The sequence below is a fragment of the Homo sapiens genome, chromosome 22 (genome assembly GCF_000001405.40).
Source record: "Homo sapiens chromosome 22, GRCh38.p14 Primary Assembly".
Classification (NCBI taxonomy): Eukaryota; Metazoa; Chordata; class Mammalia; order Primates; family Hominidae; genus Homo; species Homo sapiens.
In genome coordinates this window covers 21,892,885-21,909,482 of record NC_000022.11, presented here as the reverse complement: position 1 = coordinate 21,909,482, position 16,598 = coordinate 21,892,885, and the positions used below count along the sequence as shown (strand labels likewise).

The following is a 16,598-nucleotide window of genomic DNA, read 5'->3' as shown; positions in this document are numbered from 1 at the left end:
CGTGGAGACCAAAGTTCTTTTGAAGACTTATAGTGGCTGCCCTTAGAGACAATAAATGACAAATATTTCCTATTCAGATCTTAGTTAATCTCTTTATTTATTTATTTATTTATTTTTCGAGACGAAGTCTCACTGTTGTCCCCCAGGCTGGAGTGCAGTGGCACGATCTCGGCTCACTGCAACCTCTGCCTCCCCTGTTCAAGCGATTCTCCTGCCTCAGCCTCCCGAGTAGCTGGGATTACAGGTGTGTACCACCACACCCGGCTAATTTTTTTGTATTTTAAGTAGAGACAGGGTTTCACCATGTTGGCCAGGCTGGTCTGAAACTCCTGACCTCAGGTGATCCACCCGCCTCAGCCTCCCAAAGTGCTGGGATTACAGGCGTGAGCCACCACGCCCAGCTTCAGATCTTAGTTCTTAGTTAATCTCTTTAGGATTGGGAGGGTATAGAAGAAAAAGATCTAGCTATATTAATAGAGTTTTTTGTTGTTGTTGTTTGTTTGTTTGTTTTTGAGACAGAATTTCGCTCTTGTTCCCCAGGTTGGAGTGCAGTGGCGTGATCTCGGCTCACTGCAACCTCTGCCTCCTGGGTTCAAGCGATTCTCCTGCCTCAGCCTCCCAAGTAGCTGGGATTACAGGCATGCAGCACCATGCCTGTCTAATTTTTGTATTTTTAGTAGAGATGGGGTTTCACCATGTTGGTCAGGCAGGTCTGGAACTCCTGACCTCAGGTGATCCACTCGCCTCGGCCTCCCAAAGTGCTGGGATTACAGGTGTGAGCCACCACGCCGGACAGAGATTCTTTACAGAGACAAATTTTCTACCACAAAGAACAGCTTTGCAGGGCCATTTCAAAATATGGCAAAGAAACATGTTTTGGGGTAAAATATTTTTATTTTCTTCCTTGTCTCATAATCCTATGCCAGAGTCAGGCTGGAAATAAGTCATGATACAATAGGGTTAAATAAAACCCCTCTGAAGAGAATTTATGGTTTGTAGGGCTTGGCTCCCCAGACCCCTTAGATAGGAATTTGGGCAAGATAAAAAATCAGAGTTTAGTCCTCACACTTAACCTCTGAAGTTCTCAGGTGCATTGCACAGGCCCAACCTTGGGGGGCCACACCTCTCTCTGAGCCCCAGGTCTTGTCTTTCTCAACAAGGCAGGGTGACCCCCAACAAATCTCCACCAATGGACCACAGAGCTGCCTGGTGGGAGGGGTCACAGGAAGAAAAGGTAAATCCCACCAAGCTAGAGCTCTGGCTGAGATGGTCCACATATTCTTCCCCACTTTTTTTCTTTTTTTTTTTTTTTTTTTAACTAAGATACAATTTGCACGACACATTGTATTTCAAGGTTGAGTATCTGAGACCTGTGTGTGATAAGCTCAGGGACACGAACATGACAAATGATTAGAAATTGCAATGTTCCTTCCCCTTTTCCCTAACTCACCAATGCCCTAACACAGGCATTGCTGAGATACTTGATACTTCAACTGTGCTGCTGAGTGACCCTCATAAAGCAAGAGCCAGGGCTTGCCAGCCCCAGTGATGTTCGGTGGGCGAGGACCACATCTCCAGCTGCCTCCTGGACAATGTCCCTTGAAAATCACATGGATAAGGCCGGATGTGGTGGCTCACCACCCATAATCTCAGCACTTTGGGAGGCCAAGGCAGGAGGATCATGTGAGCCCAGGAGGCTGAGGCTGCAGTAAACTATGTTTACAAGACCGTGACTCAAAACAAAACAAAAAGCATTATATAAGTATTTCAGGGCCGGTTGTGGAAGCTCATGCCTATAATCCCAGGTGGTGATTATATAATAGCAGGTGGATCATCTGAGGTCAGGAGTTTGAGACCAGCCTGGCCAACATGGTGAAACCCCATCTCTACCAAAAAATAGAAAAATTAGCTGGACATGGTGGCGAACGCCTGTAGTCCCAGCCACTGGGGAGGCTGAGGTGGGAGAAATACTTGAACCTGGGAGGCGGAGGTTGAAGTGAGCCGAAATCGCACCACTGCATTTCAGCCTGGGCGACAGAGCGAGGCCCTGTCTCAATAAATAAATAAATAAAGTAAGCATTTATGCATATTCTTTTTTTTTTTTTTTTTTTTTTTTTTTTTTGAGACAGGCTCTCTCTCTGTTTCCCAGGCTGGAGTGCAGTGACCCACTCAGCTCAGTGCAGCCTCCAAATCCTAGGTACAAACAATAGGGGCATTCTTGGGTAAACAGGGAAGAAGTCTGGTTGGCTCTTGGAGGTGGCATGGAGAGGGTGGCTGAGGGCGTTCATGCTGTGCTTTGTGTGCCTTACTTTATGTGCTTTATGTGCATTACTGAATTTGTAAAAATGAGCATGAAATGTTTTTGTAGTTAAAAAAAAATTGTAAAGTAGAAAGAAAAGAAACCTTCTTGGAAACCAGATGGAGACAATGAGCTGAGGAAGAGGCTGAAGGCTAATTGCCACAGAGAGGCCAGATGAGCAGCAGTCAGGGCAGAATAAGTGCGGACAGAGTGGAGGGCTGCGTTGCTAAGTGTTTAAGACCCTCCTTGCCCAGCACCGTGGCTCAAACCTGTAATCCCAGCACTTTGGAAGGCCGAGGTGGGCGGATCACCTGAGATCAGGAGTTCAAGACCAGCCTGGCCAACATGGTAAAACCCTGTCTCTACTAAAAAATACAAAAATTAGTGGCCAGGCGCGGTGGCTCACGCCTGTAATCCCAGCACTTTGGGAGGCCGAGGCGGGCAGATCACGAGGTCAGGAGATCGAGACCATCCTGGCTAACATGATGAAACCTGTCTCTACCCAAAATACAAAAAATCAGCCGGGCATGGTGGCGGGCGCCTGTAGTCCCAGCTACTTGGGAGGCTGAGGCAGGAGAATGGCGTGAACCTGGGAGGTGGAGCTTGCAGTGAGCCGAGATCGCACCACTGCACTCCAGCCTGGGGAACAGAGTGAGACTACGTCTCAAAAAAATTAACTGGCATGGTGGCAGCCACCTGTAATCCCAGCTACTACGGAGGCTGAGGCAGGGAGATTGCTTGAACCCAGGAGGCGGAGGTTGCAGTGAGCCAAGATTGTGCCACTGCACTTCAGCCTGGGTGAGAGAGCAAGACACTGTCTCAAAAAAAAAAAGACCCTCTTCCTCCACATTTCTCTCCTCTCTTCCTCCCTCTTCCCTTTCCTTGGAGATGGCAACGTGGCTGGAAGCTGAGGAGGCAGCTGGTGTGGATAAAAAATCAAGCAAATACATTGAGGATAATGGGAGCCAGGTTTCTCACTGCTGGAGATGAGAATTACAAATATGGAAAGAGGAAAGGCTGAAAAGAGCCCCGAGGCACTGGAGATGTCAGTGTGGGCTCTTCATACGTGTGTATATAAAGATGTGGGAGCCAGCCTGAAGGGGCTCCCATTGGCCAAGTCTGGGACAATCGGAGCATCCAAATAAAAATGACCAGATGGCCAGGTGCAGTGGCCCACACCTGTGCTCCCAGTACTTTGGGAGGCCAAGACAGGAGGATCGCTTGAGCCAGGAGTTCAAGACCAGCCTGGGCAACATAGGGATATCCTGTCTCTACAAGAAATACTTTTTAAAAAATTAGACGGGTGTGGTGGCATGTGCTTGTAGTCCCAGTTACTCAGGAGGCTGAGGCACGAAAATCACCAGACCCCAGGAGATAGAGGTTGCAATAGAGCAAGACTCTGTCTCAAAAAACAAAAAAAAAAGAGAGAGAGACTACAAACTACTGCATAATATAGGCGTCCATGATTCTGTGCTGACTGAAGAGAAGGGAAGGCTCTTCCTTACAGGACAGTGCCAACCCATGAATGGAGAGGGGTGATGAAAATAGAGAAAGCACCACTTGGTAAGTATCATTCTGATAAGCTGATTCAAGCAGGAGGGTTACAGACCTAGGGAGGCTAAGGCTGGTGGGTGGAGAGTGGATGAGGTACAGAATATTGCAAAATATGGCTGGGCGCAGTGTGGCTCAGGCCTGTAATCTCAGCACTTTGGGAGGCCGAGGTGGGCGAATCACTTGAGGTTAGGAGTTCGAGATCAGTCTGGCCAACATGGTAAAACCCCGTCTCTACTAAAAACACAAAAATTAGCCAGGTGTGGTGATAGTTGCCTGTAATCCCAGCTACTTGGTAGGCTGAGTTAGGAGAATCACTTGAACCCGGAAGGCAGAGGTTGCAGTGAGCCGAGATCGTGCCACCGCACTCCAGCCTGGGTGACAAGAGCGAGACTCCGTCTCAAAAAAAAAAGGAAAAAAAAAAATCTCCCAGCCGGGCGCAGTGGCTCACTCCTGTAAATCCCAGCACTTTGGGAGGCTGAGATGGGTTGATCGCGAGGGCAGGAGATGGAGACCATCCTGGCCAACATGGTGAAACCCCATCTCCACTAAAAATACAAAAATTAGCTGGGCATGGTGGCGCGTGCCTGTAATCCCAGCTACTCGGGAGGCTGAGGCAGGAGAATCGCTTGAACCAGGGAGTCAGAGGTTGCGGTGAGCCGAGATCGCGCCACTGCACTCCAGCCTGGCAACAGAGTGAGACTCTGTCTCAAAAAAAAAAAAAAAAAAAAAACTCTCCCACCACACACAGGTCTCCTGCCACACCCCCATCAGGAGGACAGTCTAGTTTCCCTCACCTTGAATCTGAGCAGACGGCAAGGACTTGGCCATAACCAATACAGCATGGCAGGAGTGACACTGTGTGACTTCAAGGCCAGGTCAGCAGACCCTGCAGCTTTGGCCTTTGTCTCTTGGAGCTCTTCTCTCTTGACAGGTTCCCTCTCAGAGCCCTGCCACCATGCTGTGCAAATCCCAAGCCTCAAGGAGAGGCCACATGATGGTGGCTCCAGCAAATAATCCCTGCTGAGCCTTTCCTTCCGCCACCCCACCCAGGAGCCATCAGGGAAATGGATGCCCCATCCACCAGCCATGGGAGCCGCTTCTGGCAGTTGAAGTCACTTCAGTGGAGGGCCAGGCATCATGGAGCAGAGAGAAGCTGGACCTGCTGTGTCCTGCCTGAAGTCCTAGCCCACAGAGCTCACAGGCACAATAAAATGGTTTTGGTAATGTTGCTAAATTTGGGAGTAGTTAATTAGGCAAAAATAGGCAACTGGAGTATTGGTATAGTCTCCAATATCTCTCCACAAAATACTTATCCAATGCAAAGGAGACAAGGAGAGCTGCATGGTGGAGAGACCTGGTGGACACCGACTTCGCTGTGTAACCAAAGTCACCATGATGCCCAAGTCATCGTCGTGTGCCTCCTGACACGAATCAATGGGGAAACATGGCATTGTTTCTGCAGGATTACAACCAACAACGCGGGGCCGGGGCGAGTCATGAGGACACACTGAACAGACCCAGACTGAGACAGGGCCGACTCATCCAGGAGATTTTTACAGGCACACAAAACATGCTTTAGTTGTTTTTGGTTTGGGATTTTTTTTTTTTTTTTTTTGAGATGGAGTCTCACTGTGTCACCCAGGCTGGAGTGCAGTGGCGCGATCTCAGCTTACTGCAATCTCCGCCTCTGGGGTTCAAGTAATTCTCATGCCTCAGCCTCCCAAGTAGCTGGGATTACAGGCATGTGCCACTATGCCCAGCTAATTTTTGTATTTTTAGTAGAGATGGGGTTTCACCATATTGGCCAGGCTGGTTTCAAACTCCTAACCTCAAGTGATCCACCCACCTCGGCCTCCCAAAGGGCTGGGATTACAGGCATAAGCCACTGCGCCCGGCTGCTTTGGTTTTAATTTATTTTGAAATCAGAAAAAAAAGCATAACAATAATGAATCCAACCTTGATTATATTTATCTTCATACCAATGCAATATGAAACGTATTGAAATTTTTTCTTTTTTTCGTGTGTGTGTGTGTGTGTGTGTGTGTGAAAGAAGGGACTGAAAAGTGCAAAAATGCATACAGCCTACAGCCATAATGCATCCCTGGGTTGGGGACATCCTGCAGAATAAAATATGCTAGGGAAGGTGGAGTCAGCACACTTCTCTGTGTCTCTCCCTTTGAATGCAGCTAGAAAACCTGGACAGCTGCAAGGGCATCCCGCTAAGAACTTGAAACGGCAAATGATATGGGCACAGTGAGGAAGAATACTGAATTCTAAGTGCTACTGACCTGGTAGTGAGTTCCCCCCAACTTGTTTCCTTCAGTCCAGACTTAATGCAGCCTGGAACCCGAAGTATGTATCGCTGTGGACCGAGAGAGCTTCAGGAGAAACCCACTACCTCTGGCTAGAGGGGTGAGGAAGGAGCCTCCTAACATGCAGAGCAAATAGGGAAATAGCCCATTTGTCTTTTTTCCTTTTCCCCCCCAGTATTTCTTGTACCATCCTGTAGGCAACTTTGTGTTGGTGGCAGCCACAGTGATAGCAGTGGCACTGGGGGAGTTCGGGAGCCTAAACTTCTGAAAGAAGGAAACCTCATCTTTGATCAGAAGAGATGTGATTCCCAATAGGGCAGGGCTTTTTTCTCTGCCCTCCACTGCTTGGCTCCCAGTATGGATCTAGTCATGGGAAGTATGTGGCGAAATTGAGGAAATAAAGCCACACCTTTCTGGACAGAGGACTGGAAGAGGGAACCCCAACAAACTGGAAAGGACTAGGAGGATTGAAAGTTGTTTATGAATTCCTAGACTCACCCCAAAGATGTGTATGTATGGAGCTGACTCTAAACCAGGCTGGGCACAGAGGCTCACTCCTGTAATCGCAGCACTTTGGGAGGCCGAGATGAGCAGATTGCTTGAGCTCAGGAGTTCAAGACCAGCCTGGGCAACATGGTGAAACCCCGTCTCTACAAAAAACAAAAAACTTAGCTGAGCATGATGCACGTGCCTGTAGTTCCAGCTACTCGGGAGGTGAAGGTGGGAGGATCGCTTGAGCCCGGGAGGCAGAGGTTGCAGTGATCTGAGATTGCGCCACTGCACTCCAGCCCGGGTGACAGAGTGAGACACCTTCTCAAATAAACAGCATACCATAGGCTTTGAGAACTGAAGTATGGGACTGACCCCTGGGTGGTGCCCCAGGGGATAGAGCTGAATAGCACAACATAGGCTTTGAAAACACAACTGATATTGAAACCATAACCCACAGAGGAGTGGTCAAATCTTGCAGCGTGAAACCAACCCAGTCAATTGCCTGCTTAAACAAAAATTTCCACATTCTCATAGGATTTAAACAGAACCCAGAATCCCATGATATAATATTTTAAGTGTCCAGGATGAAATCTGCTATAGACTGTTTGTGTCCCCTCAAAATTCATATGTTAGGCCGGGTGCGGTGGCTCACGCCTGTAATCCCAGCACTTTGGGAGGCCGAGGCGGGCGGATCACAACGTCAGGAGATTGAGACCATCCTGGCTAACACGGTGAAACCTCGTCTCTATTAAAATACAAAAAATTAGCCGGGTGTGGTGGCAGGCACCTGTAGTCCCAGCTACTTGGGAGGCTGAGGCAGGAGAATGGCGTGAACCCAGGAGGCGGAACTTGCAGTGAGCTGAGATTGCACCACTGCACCCCAGCCTGGGTGACAGAGCAAGACTCTGTCTCAAAAAAAAAAAAAATTTATATGCTGAAACCTAATCTACAGTGTGAGGGCATGGAGGTGGAGCCTTTGGGAAGTGATTAGATCATGAAGATAGATCCCTCATGAATGGGATTAGTGCTCTTATAAAAGACACCCCAGCCGGGCACAGTGGTTCATGCCTGTAATCCTTGCACTTTGGGAGGCTGAGGTGGGTGGATCACCGGAGGTCAGGAGTTTGAGACCAGCCTAGCCAACATAGTGTAACCCTGAATCTACTAAAAATACAAAAAATTAGCTGGGCATGGTGGCATGCACCTATAGTCCCAGCTACTCGGGAGGCTGAGGCAGAATTGCTTGAACCCGGGCGGCGGAGGTTGCAGTGAGCTGAGATTGTACCACTGCTCTCCAGCCTGGGCGACAGAGCAAGACTCTGTCTCAATAAATAAATAAATAAATAAATAAATAAATAAATAAATATAAAAAAGACACCCCAGAGAACTACCTCACAATTCCTGCTATGTGAGGACACAGCAAGAAGACAGCCGTCTACAAACCAGGAAACAGGCATGCATCAGACACTAAAGCTTCCAGCACCTTGATCTTGGACTTACAACCTCCAAACTGTGAGAAATAACTTTCTGTTGTTTATAAGCCACCCAGCCTATGATATTTTTGTTACAGCAGCCCAAACAGAACAAGACATAATCCAATACATGTGTAACAATGAGAACGTATTCTTTTTTTTTTTTTTTTTTTTGGAGATGGAGTTTCGCTCTTGTTGTCCAGGCCGGAGTGCAGTGGTGCAATATCGGCTCACCGCAACCTCTGCCTCCTGGGTTCAAGCGATTCTCCTGCCTCAGCCTCCCGAGTAGCTGGGATTACAGGCATGCGCCACCAAGACTGGCTAATTTTGTATTTTTTAGTAGAGACGGGGTTTCACCATGTTGTCCAGGCTGGTCTTGAACTCCTGACCTCAGGTGATCCACCCGCCTCGGCCTCCCAAAGTGCTGGGATTACAGGCGTGAGCCACCGTGCCCGGCCGAGAACATATTCTTTAGTTTACAAAAGGCCAGGAAAATCTCAACTTGCCTGGGAAAAGAAAATCAACAGATGTCAGTGCTGACATGACACAGACAATGGAATTATCTGACAAAGGCTTTAAAGCGGCTGCTATTTTTTAAAATGCTCCAGTAAGTAAGGGCAAACATTACTGAAACAACTGGAAAGATGTTTCAGCAAAGAAATAGAAGATATAATGAAGAAGCAAGTGAAAACTAGAACTGAAAAAATACAATAACTGAAAAAAAGAACCTCACTGAATGATCTCAGTAATAGAATGGAGATGACAGGGAAACAGCCAGTGAACTTCAGGATAGACAAAAAGAAATTATACAATCAGAACAACAGAGAGAAAAATAAACTGAAGAAAAAAAAACAGTGTCAGGGATATGTTCAAAGCTGAAAAGTCTAGTATTTGTGTTACCTAAATTACACAACGAGAAGAGAAAGCATGTAGTGCAGAAAAAAGAATTTAAAAAATACCAGTTGAAAACTTCCTGAATTTTGCCAGGCACGGTGGCTCACACCTGTAATTCCAGGACTTTGGGAGGCCAAGGCCAACAGATCACCTGAGGTCGGGAGTTTGCGACGAGCCTGGCCAACAAAGTGAAACCCAGTCTCTGCTAACAATACAAAAATTAGCCAGGCAGGGTGGCACGCACCTGTAATCCCAGCTACTCAGAAGGCTGAGGCAGGAGAATCACTTGAATCCGGGAGGCAGAGGTTGCAGTGAGCCGAGGCTGCACCACTGTACTCCAGACAGCGAGACTCCATCTCAAAAAAAAAAAAAAAAAAAAAACTTCCTGAATTTGGTAAAAGATATAAGCCTAGAAATTAAAAAAGCTCAGTGAACCAAAAATAGAATAATTTCAAATAAACTTATGACCAGACACATAATAATCAAACTTGAAAACTAAAGACAAAGAAATCTTGAAAACAGCAATAAAAAAAAAAGAATTACTTAAATGAGAGCAATTCAAGTGACAGCAGATTTCTTATCAGAAGTGCAACAATAGTTACTAAATGCTGAAAGAAAGAAAAAATTATTAACCCAGAATTCTATATGCAGTGAAAATACCCTTAAGGAATGAAAGTGAAATTAAGAATTTTTGCGGCCAGGCACGGTGGCTCACTCCTGTAATCCCAGCACTTTGGGAGGCCAATGGGGGCGCGGATCACCTGAGGTTGGGAGTTCAAGACCAGCCTGACCAACATGGAGAAACCCCATCTCTACTAAAAATATAAAATTAGCTGGCCGTGGTGGCACATGCCTATAATCCCAGCTACCTGGGAGGCTGACGCAGAAGAATCAATTGAACCCTGGAGGCGGAGGTTGCAGTGAGCCGAGATCGTGCCATTGCACTTCAGCCTGGGCAACAAGAGTGAAACTTCATCTCAAAAAACAAAATAAAAAAAGGGAATGTTTGCAGCTGAGCGTGGTGACTCACACCTGTAATCCCAGCACTTTGAGAGGCTGAGGCGGGTGGATCACCTGAGAACAGGAGTTCAAGACCAGCTTGGCCAACATGTTAAAACCCTGTCTCTACTAAAAATACAAATATTAGCCAGGCATGGTGGCAGGTGCCTGTAATCCCAGCTACTCGGGAGGCTGAGGCAGGAGAATCGCTTAAAACCTGGGAGGCGGAGGTAGCAGTGAGCTGAGACCGTGCCACTCCACTCCAGCCTGGGCAACAGAACGAGACTTTGTAAAAAAAAAAAAAAAAGCCTTAATAAATATGAATAGAAATTATACAAAGTATGTTTCCTGATCATGATAAAATTAGTCTTGATATCAATAAGAGAAATAGAACAAAAAACCTTCCAGACTATTAGAAATTAAACAATATATCGCCTAGACTGGAGTGCAGTGGTGTGATCCCAGCTCACTGCAGCCTCAACTTCCCAGGCTCAAGTGATCCTCTCACTTCAGCCTCCCAGGTATCTGGTACTACAGGTGTGCACCACCATGCCCAGCTTATACTTATTATTAAATAATCCATGAGTAGTCAAAGAGGGAGTCTCAAACAAAATAAATATATCAAACAATAAAAAAGTACAGCATATCAAAATGTATGGGAGCTAAAGAGTGCTAAAAAAATTATAGCACTAAATCTTACATTAGAAAAAAGGAAAAGTCTCAAATCAATAATCTAAGTTCCTACTTCAAGAAATGACAAAAGAAGAGCAAAATAAGCTGAAAGCAAGCAAGATGTATGAAATAAAAATAAATCCAAAAATCAATGAAACTGAAAACAGAAAAACAATAGAGAAAAATCAATGAAAGCAGAAACTGTTTCTTTGAGGAAATCAATGAATGGTACCTCCAATGAGACGAACCAAAAAAAAAAAAAAAAAAAAAAAAACACAAAATTACCAATTTCCAATATGAGGAATGAAAGAGAAGATATAATCACAAACCTTAAAGATATTAAAAGGATAATAAAGGAATACCACAAACAACTCCACACACACAAATAATTCAACCAGTTAAATTAAATGGTTCAATTCCCCAAGGCCCACAAAGTACCAAACTCACCCAAGATGAAATAGATAATCTGAGTAGTTCTAGAGCTATTAAAGAAATTAACAGTTTAAACCTTCCTGAAAAAGAAATCTCCAGGCCCCAGTGGTTTCACTGGAGAATTCTATCAAACTAGGTACTATTTTTTCTTTAAATGTTTGATAGAGGCCGGGTGCGGTGGCTCACGTCTGTAATCCCAGCACTTTGGGAGGCCAAGGCGGACCGATCACCTGAGGTCAGGAGTTCAAGACCAGCCTGGCCAACATGGTGAAACCCCATCTCTACTAAAATACAAAAATTAGCCAGGCATGGTGGCTCATGCCTGTAATCCCAGCTATTCGGGAGGCTGAGGCAGGAGAATCGCTTGAATCTAGGAGACGGAGGTTGCAGTGAGCCAAGATCGCGCCACTGCACTCCAGCCTGGGTGACAGAGTGAGACTCAGTCTCAAAAAAAAAGTAAAAAATAGCTCCAATTCTACACAATCACTTTCAGAAAACAAATAGGCAGGAACACTCCACAACTCATTTAATGAGACCGGCATTACTCTAATGCCAAATCCAGTCAAAAACAGTACAAGAAAACTACAAAACTATATCCGTCATGAAGATAGATACAAAACCCCCCAGCAAAATATTAGAAAATCAAATCCAGCAATATGTAAGAAGAATAATATACTACTGCTACTAAGTGGAGTTTATCCTAGGAATGCAAGGTTTGTTTATTATTCAAAAATTAATGTAATTTACCATATTAAAAGCCTAAAGAAAAAATACACATGATCATATCCATTGATACAGAAAAAAAAATTGACAAAATTCAACATCCATTCATGAGAAAAACCTCTTCACAAGCTATGGACAGAAGGGAACTTTCTCAACATTAAAATTAATAGTGAAAGACGAAATACTTTCCCCCTAAGTTTGAGAACAAGCAAGGGATATACACTCTTACGGGTCCTATTCAACATTGTAAGGCAGTGTGCGGTGGCTCACACCTATATTCAGGTGCTTTGAGAGACTGAGGCAGGAGGACTGCTTGAGCCCAGGAGTTTGAAACCAGCCTGGGCAACATAGCAAGACCCTGTCTCTACAAAAAATTTAAAAATATTAGCTGGACGTGGTGGTGCACTCCTATAGTCCCAGCTACTCTGAGAGGCTGAGGTTGAGGATTGCTTGAGCCCAGGAGTTTGAGGCTGCAGTGAGCTATAATCAGGCCACTGCACTTCAGCCTGGACAACAGAGCGAGACCCTGTCTCTAAAAACAAACAAACAAACAAACATTGTAATGGAAGTCCTAGTTAGTGCAATAAGGCAAGAAAAAGAAATAAAGAAATACAGATTGGACAGGAAGAAATAAATTTCTCTCTATTTGCAGATGACATGATTGCTAAAAACTCCAAAACTCTGTGAGCTAGCCAGGTGCCATGGCATGTGAGGTGGAGCCAGGAGGATCACTTGAGCCCAGGAGATCAACACTGCAGTGCACTATGATTGTGCCTGTGAATTTTAGAGCTGAGATTTCCCTGTTGCACAGGCTAGAGCAACATAGAGAGACCCCATCTCTAAAAAACAAACAAAAAAACTAACCAATGAGTTTACCAAGGTTGCAGAATACAGGGCTGATATAGGAAAATTCACAGTGTTTCTATATACTGAAAATTGGAAACAAAAGATGTTTTAAATACCATTTACAATAACTCCAAAACACATGAAACATATCATATAAATCTAACAAAATATGAACAGGCCTGGCCAACATGGTGAAACCCCATGTCTACAAAAAATACAAAAAATAGCCAGGAATGCCTGTAGTCATGCCTGTAGTCACAGGTACTTGGGAGGCTGAGTCAGGAGAATCCCTTGAACCTGGGAGGCAGAGGTTGCAGTCAGCTGAGATTGCGCCACTGCACTCCAGCCTGGGCAACAGAGCAAGACTCCGTCTCAAAAAAAAAAAAAAGAAAGAAAGAAAGAAAGAAACCCTGTCTCTACGAAAATTACAAAAATTAGCCCTGGATGGTGGTTCGTGCCTGTAGTCCCAGCCACTTAAAGGGCTGAGGTGGGAGGATCACTTGAGCCTGGGAGGTCAAAGCTGCAGTGAGCCGAGATCGCACCACTGCACCCCAGCCTGGGCTGTAGAGTTAGATGCTGTCTCAAAAAAAAAAAAAAAAAAAAACTATAAAATCTTGGTGAAATAAATTAATAAAGAAGACCTAAATAGATGGATAGACATATTGTTTTCATGGATTGAAATACTCAAATATGTCAGTTATCCCCAGATTAACCTACAACTGTAACACAATTCCAATTAGAATCCCAGCAGAATTTTTTGAAGATAGAGACCAACTGGTTGTCAATTTTTGTAATTAATTAATTAATTTACTTATTTTGAGACAGAGTATCGCTCTGTCGCCCAGGCTGGAGTGCAGTGGTATGATCATGGCTCGCTGCAATTCTCTCATCTCAGCCTCCTGAGGAGCTGGGACTACAGGCATGCACCACCACGCCTGACTAATTTTTTTGTATTTTGTGTTTCGTTGCCCATGCTGGTCTCCAACTCCTGAGCTCAAGCAATCGGCCCACTTCGGCCTCCCGAAGTGCTGGGATTACAGGCGTGAGCCACTGTGCCTGGCCTGTGACTGGCTTATTTCACTTACCATAATATTATAACAATTCGGCCGGGCGCGGTGGCTCACGCCTGTAATCCCAGCACTTTGGGAGGCCGAGGCGGGCGGATCACGAAGTCAGGAGATCGAGACCATCCTGGCTAACACGGTGAAACCCCATCTCTACTAAAAATACGAAAAATTAGCTGGACGTGGTGGTGGGCGCCTGTTGTCCCAGCTACTCGGAGGCTGAGGCAGGAGAATGGCATGAACCCAGGAGGCGGAGCTTGCAGTGAGCAGAGATCAAGCCACTGCACTCCAGCCTGGGGGACAGTGCAAGATTCCGTCTCAAAAAAAAAAAAATTATGACAATTCATTCCTTTTCTAGATGAATAATATTCCACTGTATCTGTATGCACATTTTGTTTATCCATTCATCTGTTGATCAGCATTTGGGTTGTTTGCATCTTTTGGCTATTATGAATAGTATGCTATGAACATTGAGTCCCTTTTATCAAATATTTGGGGTATACAAATAGGAGTGAAATTGCTGAGCCATATGGTAATTCTACGTTTAACTTTTTAAGGAACCGTTAAACTGTTTTCCACAGTGGCTGAATAATTTTGTATTCCCACCAGCAATGTATCAGGGTTCCAATATATCTCCACATAATTTTATGTGTTTATTTGCCATTCATATGTCTTCTTTGGAGAAACACCTACTCAAGTCTTTTGTCCATTTTTTTGCTTGTTTTTTTTATTTTGATACAGAATCTCGCTCTGCTGCCCAGGCTGGAGTGCAGTAGCATGATCTCGGCTTACTGCAATCTCTGCCTACCCAGTTCAAGCGATTCTTGTGCCTCAGCCTCCTGAGTGGCTGGGACTACAGGTTCGCGCCACCACACTGGGAAAATTTTTTGTCCATTTTTAAATTGGGTTGTTTGTTTTGTTGTCGTTCAGTTGTAGGAATTCTCTCTATATATTCTGGACTTTAACCCCTTTTCAGATATATGATTTGCAAACATTTTCTCCCATTCTGTGGGTTGCCTTTTTACTATCTTAATAGTATCCTTTGATACACAAAGGATTCTAATTTTGCTCAAGTCTGATCTATTTATTTATTTATTTTGTTGCTTATGCTTTTGGTGTGTCACGAAGCCTCTCTTCTATGCTTTCTCCTAAAAGTTTTATAGTTCTAACTCTTATATTCAGGTTTTTAATTCATTTTGAGCTAATATTTGTACACGCTGTGAGGTAGGGGTCCAATCTCATTCTTTTGATTATGGCTATCCAGTTTTCCCAGTGACATTTGTTATAGAGACTGTCCTTTCCACTGAATGGTCTTGTCATCTTTGTCAAAAATCATTTGATCATATATGAGAGAGTTTATTTCTAGGCTCTCTATTCAATTCCATTTGTCTATGTCTGCCTTCATGCCAGTACCCACGGTTTTGATTACTGTTGTTTTGCAGTAAGTTTTTGTTTGTTTGTTTGTTTTCTGAGACGGAGTTTCGCTCTGTTGCCAGGCTGGAGTGCAGTGGTGTGATCTCGGCTCACTGCAATCTCCACCTCCCAGGTTGAAGCAATTCTCCTGCCTCAGCCTCCTGAGTAGCTGGGATTACAGGTGCAGGCCACCACAGCGAGCTAATTTTTGTATTTTTAGTAGAGATGGTCTCCATCTCCTGACTTTGCGATCCACCCGCCTTGGTCTCCCAAAGTGTAGGGATTACAGGCGTGGGCCCCCACGCCTGGTCTTTTTTTTTCTTATTTGAGATGGAGTTTCGCTCTTGTTGCCCAGGCTGGAGTGCAATGGTGCAATCTCAGCACACTGCAACCTCCGCCTCCTGGGTTCGAGTGATTCGCCTGCTTCAGGATCCCAAGTAGCTGGGATTACAGGCATGCGCCACCACGCCCGGCTAATTTTTTTGTATTTTTAGTAGACATGAGGTTTCTCTATGTTAGTCAGGGCTGGGATTACAGGTGTGAGCCACCGTGCCCGGCTTTACAGTAAGTTTTAAAATCAGGGCCAGTGCAGTGGCTCAAGCCTGATTACAGGCTCAGTACTTTGGGAAGCCGAGGTGGGAGGCTCACTTGAGGCCAGGAGTTCAAGACTAGCCTGGGAAACATAGCAAAACCCCGTATAGAAAAAGTTTTTTAGGCCAGGCACGGTGGCTCATGCCTGTAATCCCAAAACTTTGGGAGGCCGAGCGGGTGGATTACCTGAGGTCAGGAGTTCGAGACTAGGCTGACCAACATGGAGAAACCTCATCTCTACTAAAAATACAAAATTAGTCGGGCGTGGTGGCACATGCCTGTAATCCCAGCTACTCGGGAGGCTGAGGCAGGAGAATCACTTGAACCCGGGAGGCAGAGGTTGCAGTGGGCTGGCACCATTGCACTCCAGCCTGGGCAACAAGAGTGAAACTCCATCTCAAAGTCTTGTTCTGTCACCCAGGCTGGTGTGCAGTGGTGGGATCACAGCTCCCTGCAACCTCTGCCTCCCAGGGTCAAGCAATCCTCCCACCTCAGCCCCCGGTGTAGCCGGGATTATAGGCATAGGCCACCACACCTGGCTAATTTTTTTTTTTTTTTTTGGAGACGAGGTTTCACCATGTTGCCCAGACTAGTCTCAAACTCCTGGGCTCAAGCAGTCTGCCCACCTTGGCCTCCCAAAGTGCTGGCATTACACCATGCCTGGCCTGCATTTACCTTTTAAATCATATGAGAAAAAGAGAGAGGTTAAAAACCAAACCAAAAGTACAGTAATATTGGCATTTATTTATTTAGAGATGGAGTCTCACTCTGTCGCCCAGCCTCGAGTGCAGTGGTGCGATCTCGGCTCACTACAAGCGCTGCCTCCCGGGTTCAC

The 16,598-nt window shown here is 45.4% G+C and overlaps 2 annotated features.

Moving 5' to 3' along the window:
* Positions 9,072-9,258: a silencer, noted in NCBI's record as "fragment chr22:22254563-22254749 (GRCh37/hg19 assembly coordinates)". NCBI's record gives its function as "represses an EF-1alpha promoter that drives an FKBP-Casp9 reporter gene in an ReSE screen in K562 erythroleukemia cells {active_cell/tissue: K562}" and the evidence as "EXISTENCE:reporter gene assay evidence [ECO:0000049][PMID:32094911]".
* Positions 10,714-10,883: an enhancer, noted in NCBI's record as "experimental_63076 CRE fragment used in MPRA reporter constructs". NCBI's record gives its function as "activates a minimal promoter by MPRAs in K562 erythroleukemia cells, with activity observed for both the introgressed and non-introgressed 22:22253023 variant alleles {active_cell/tissue: K562}" and the evidence as "EXISTENCE:reporter gene assay evidence [ECO:0000049][PMID:34662402]".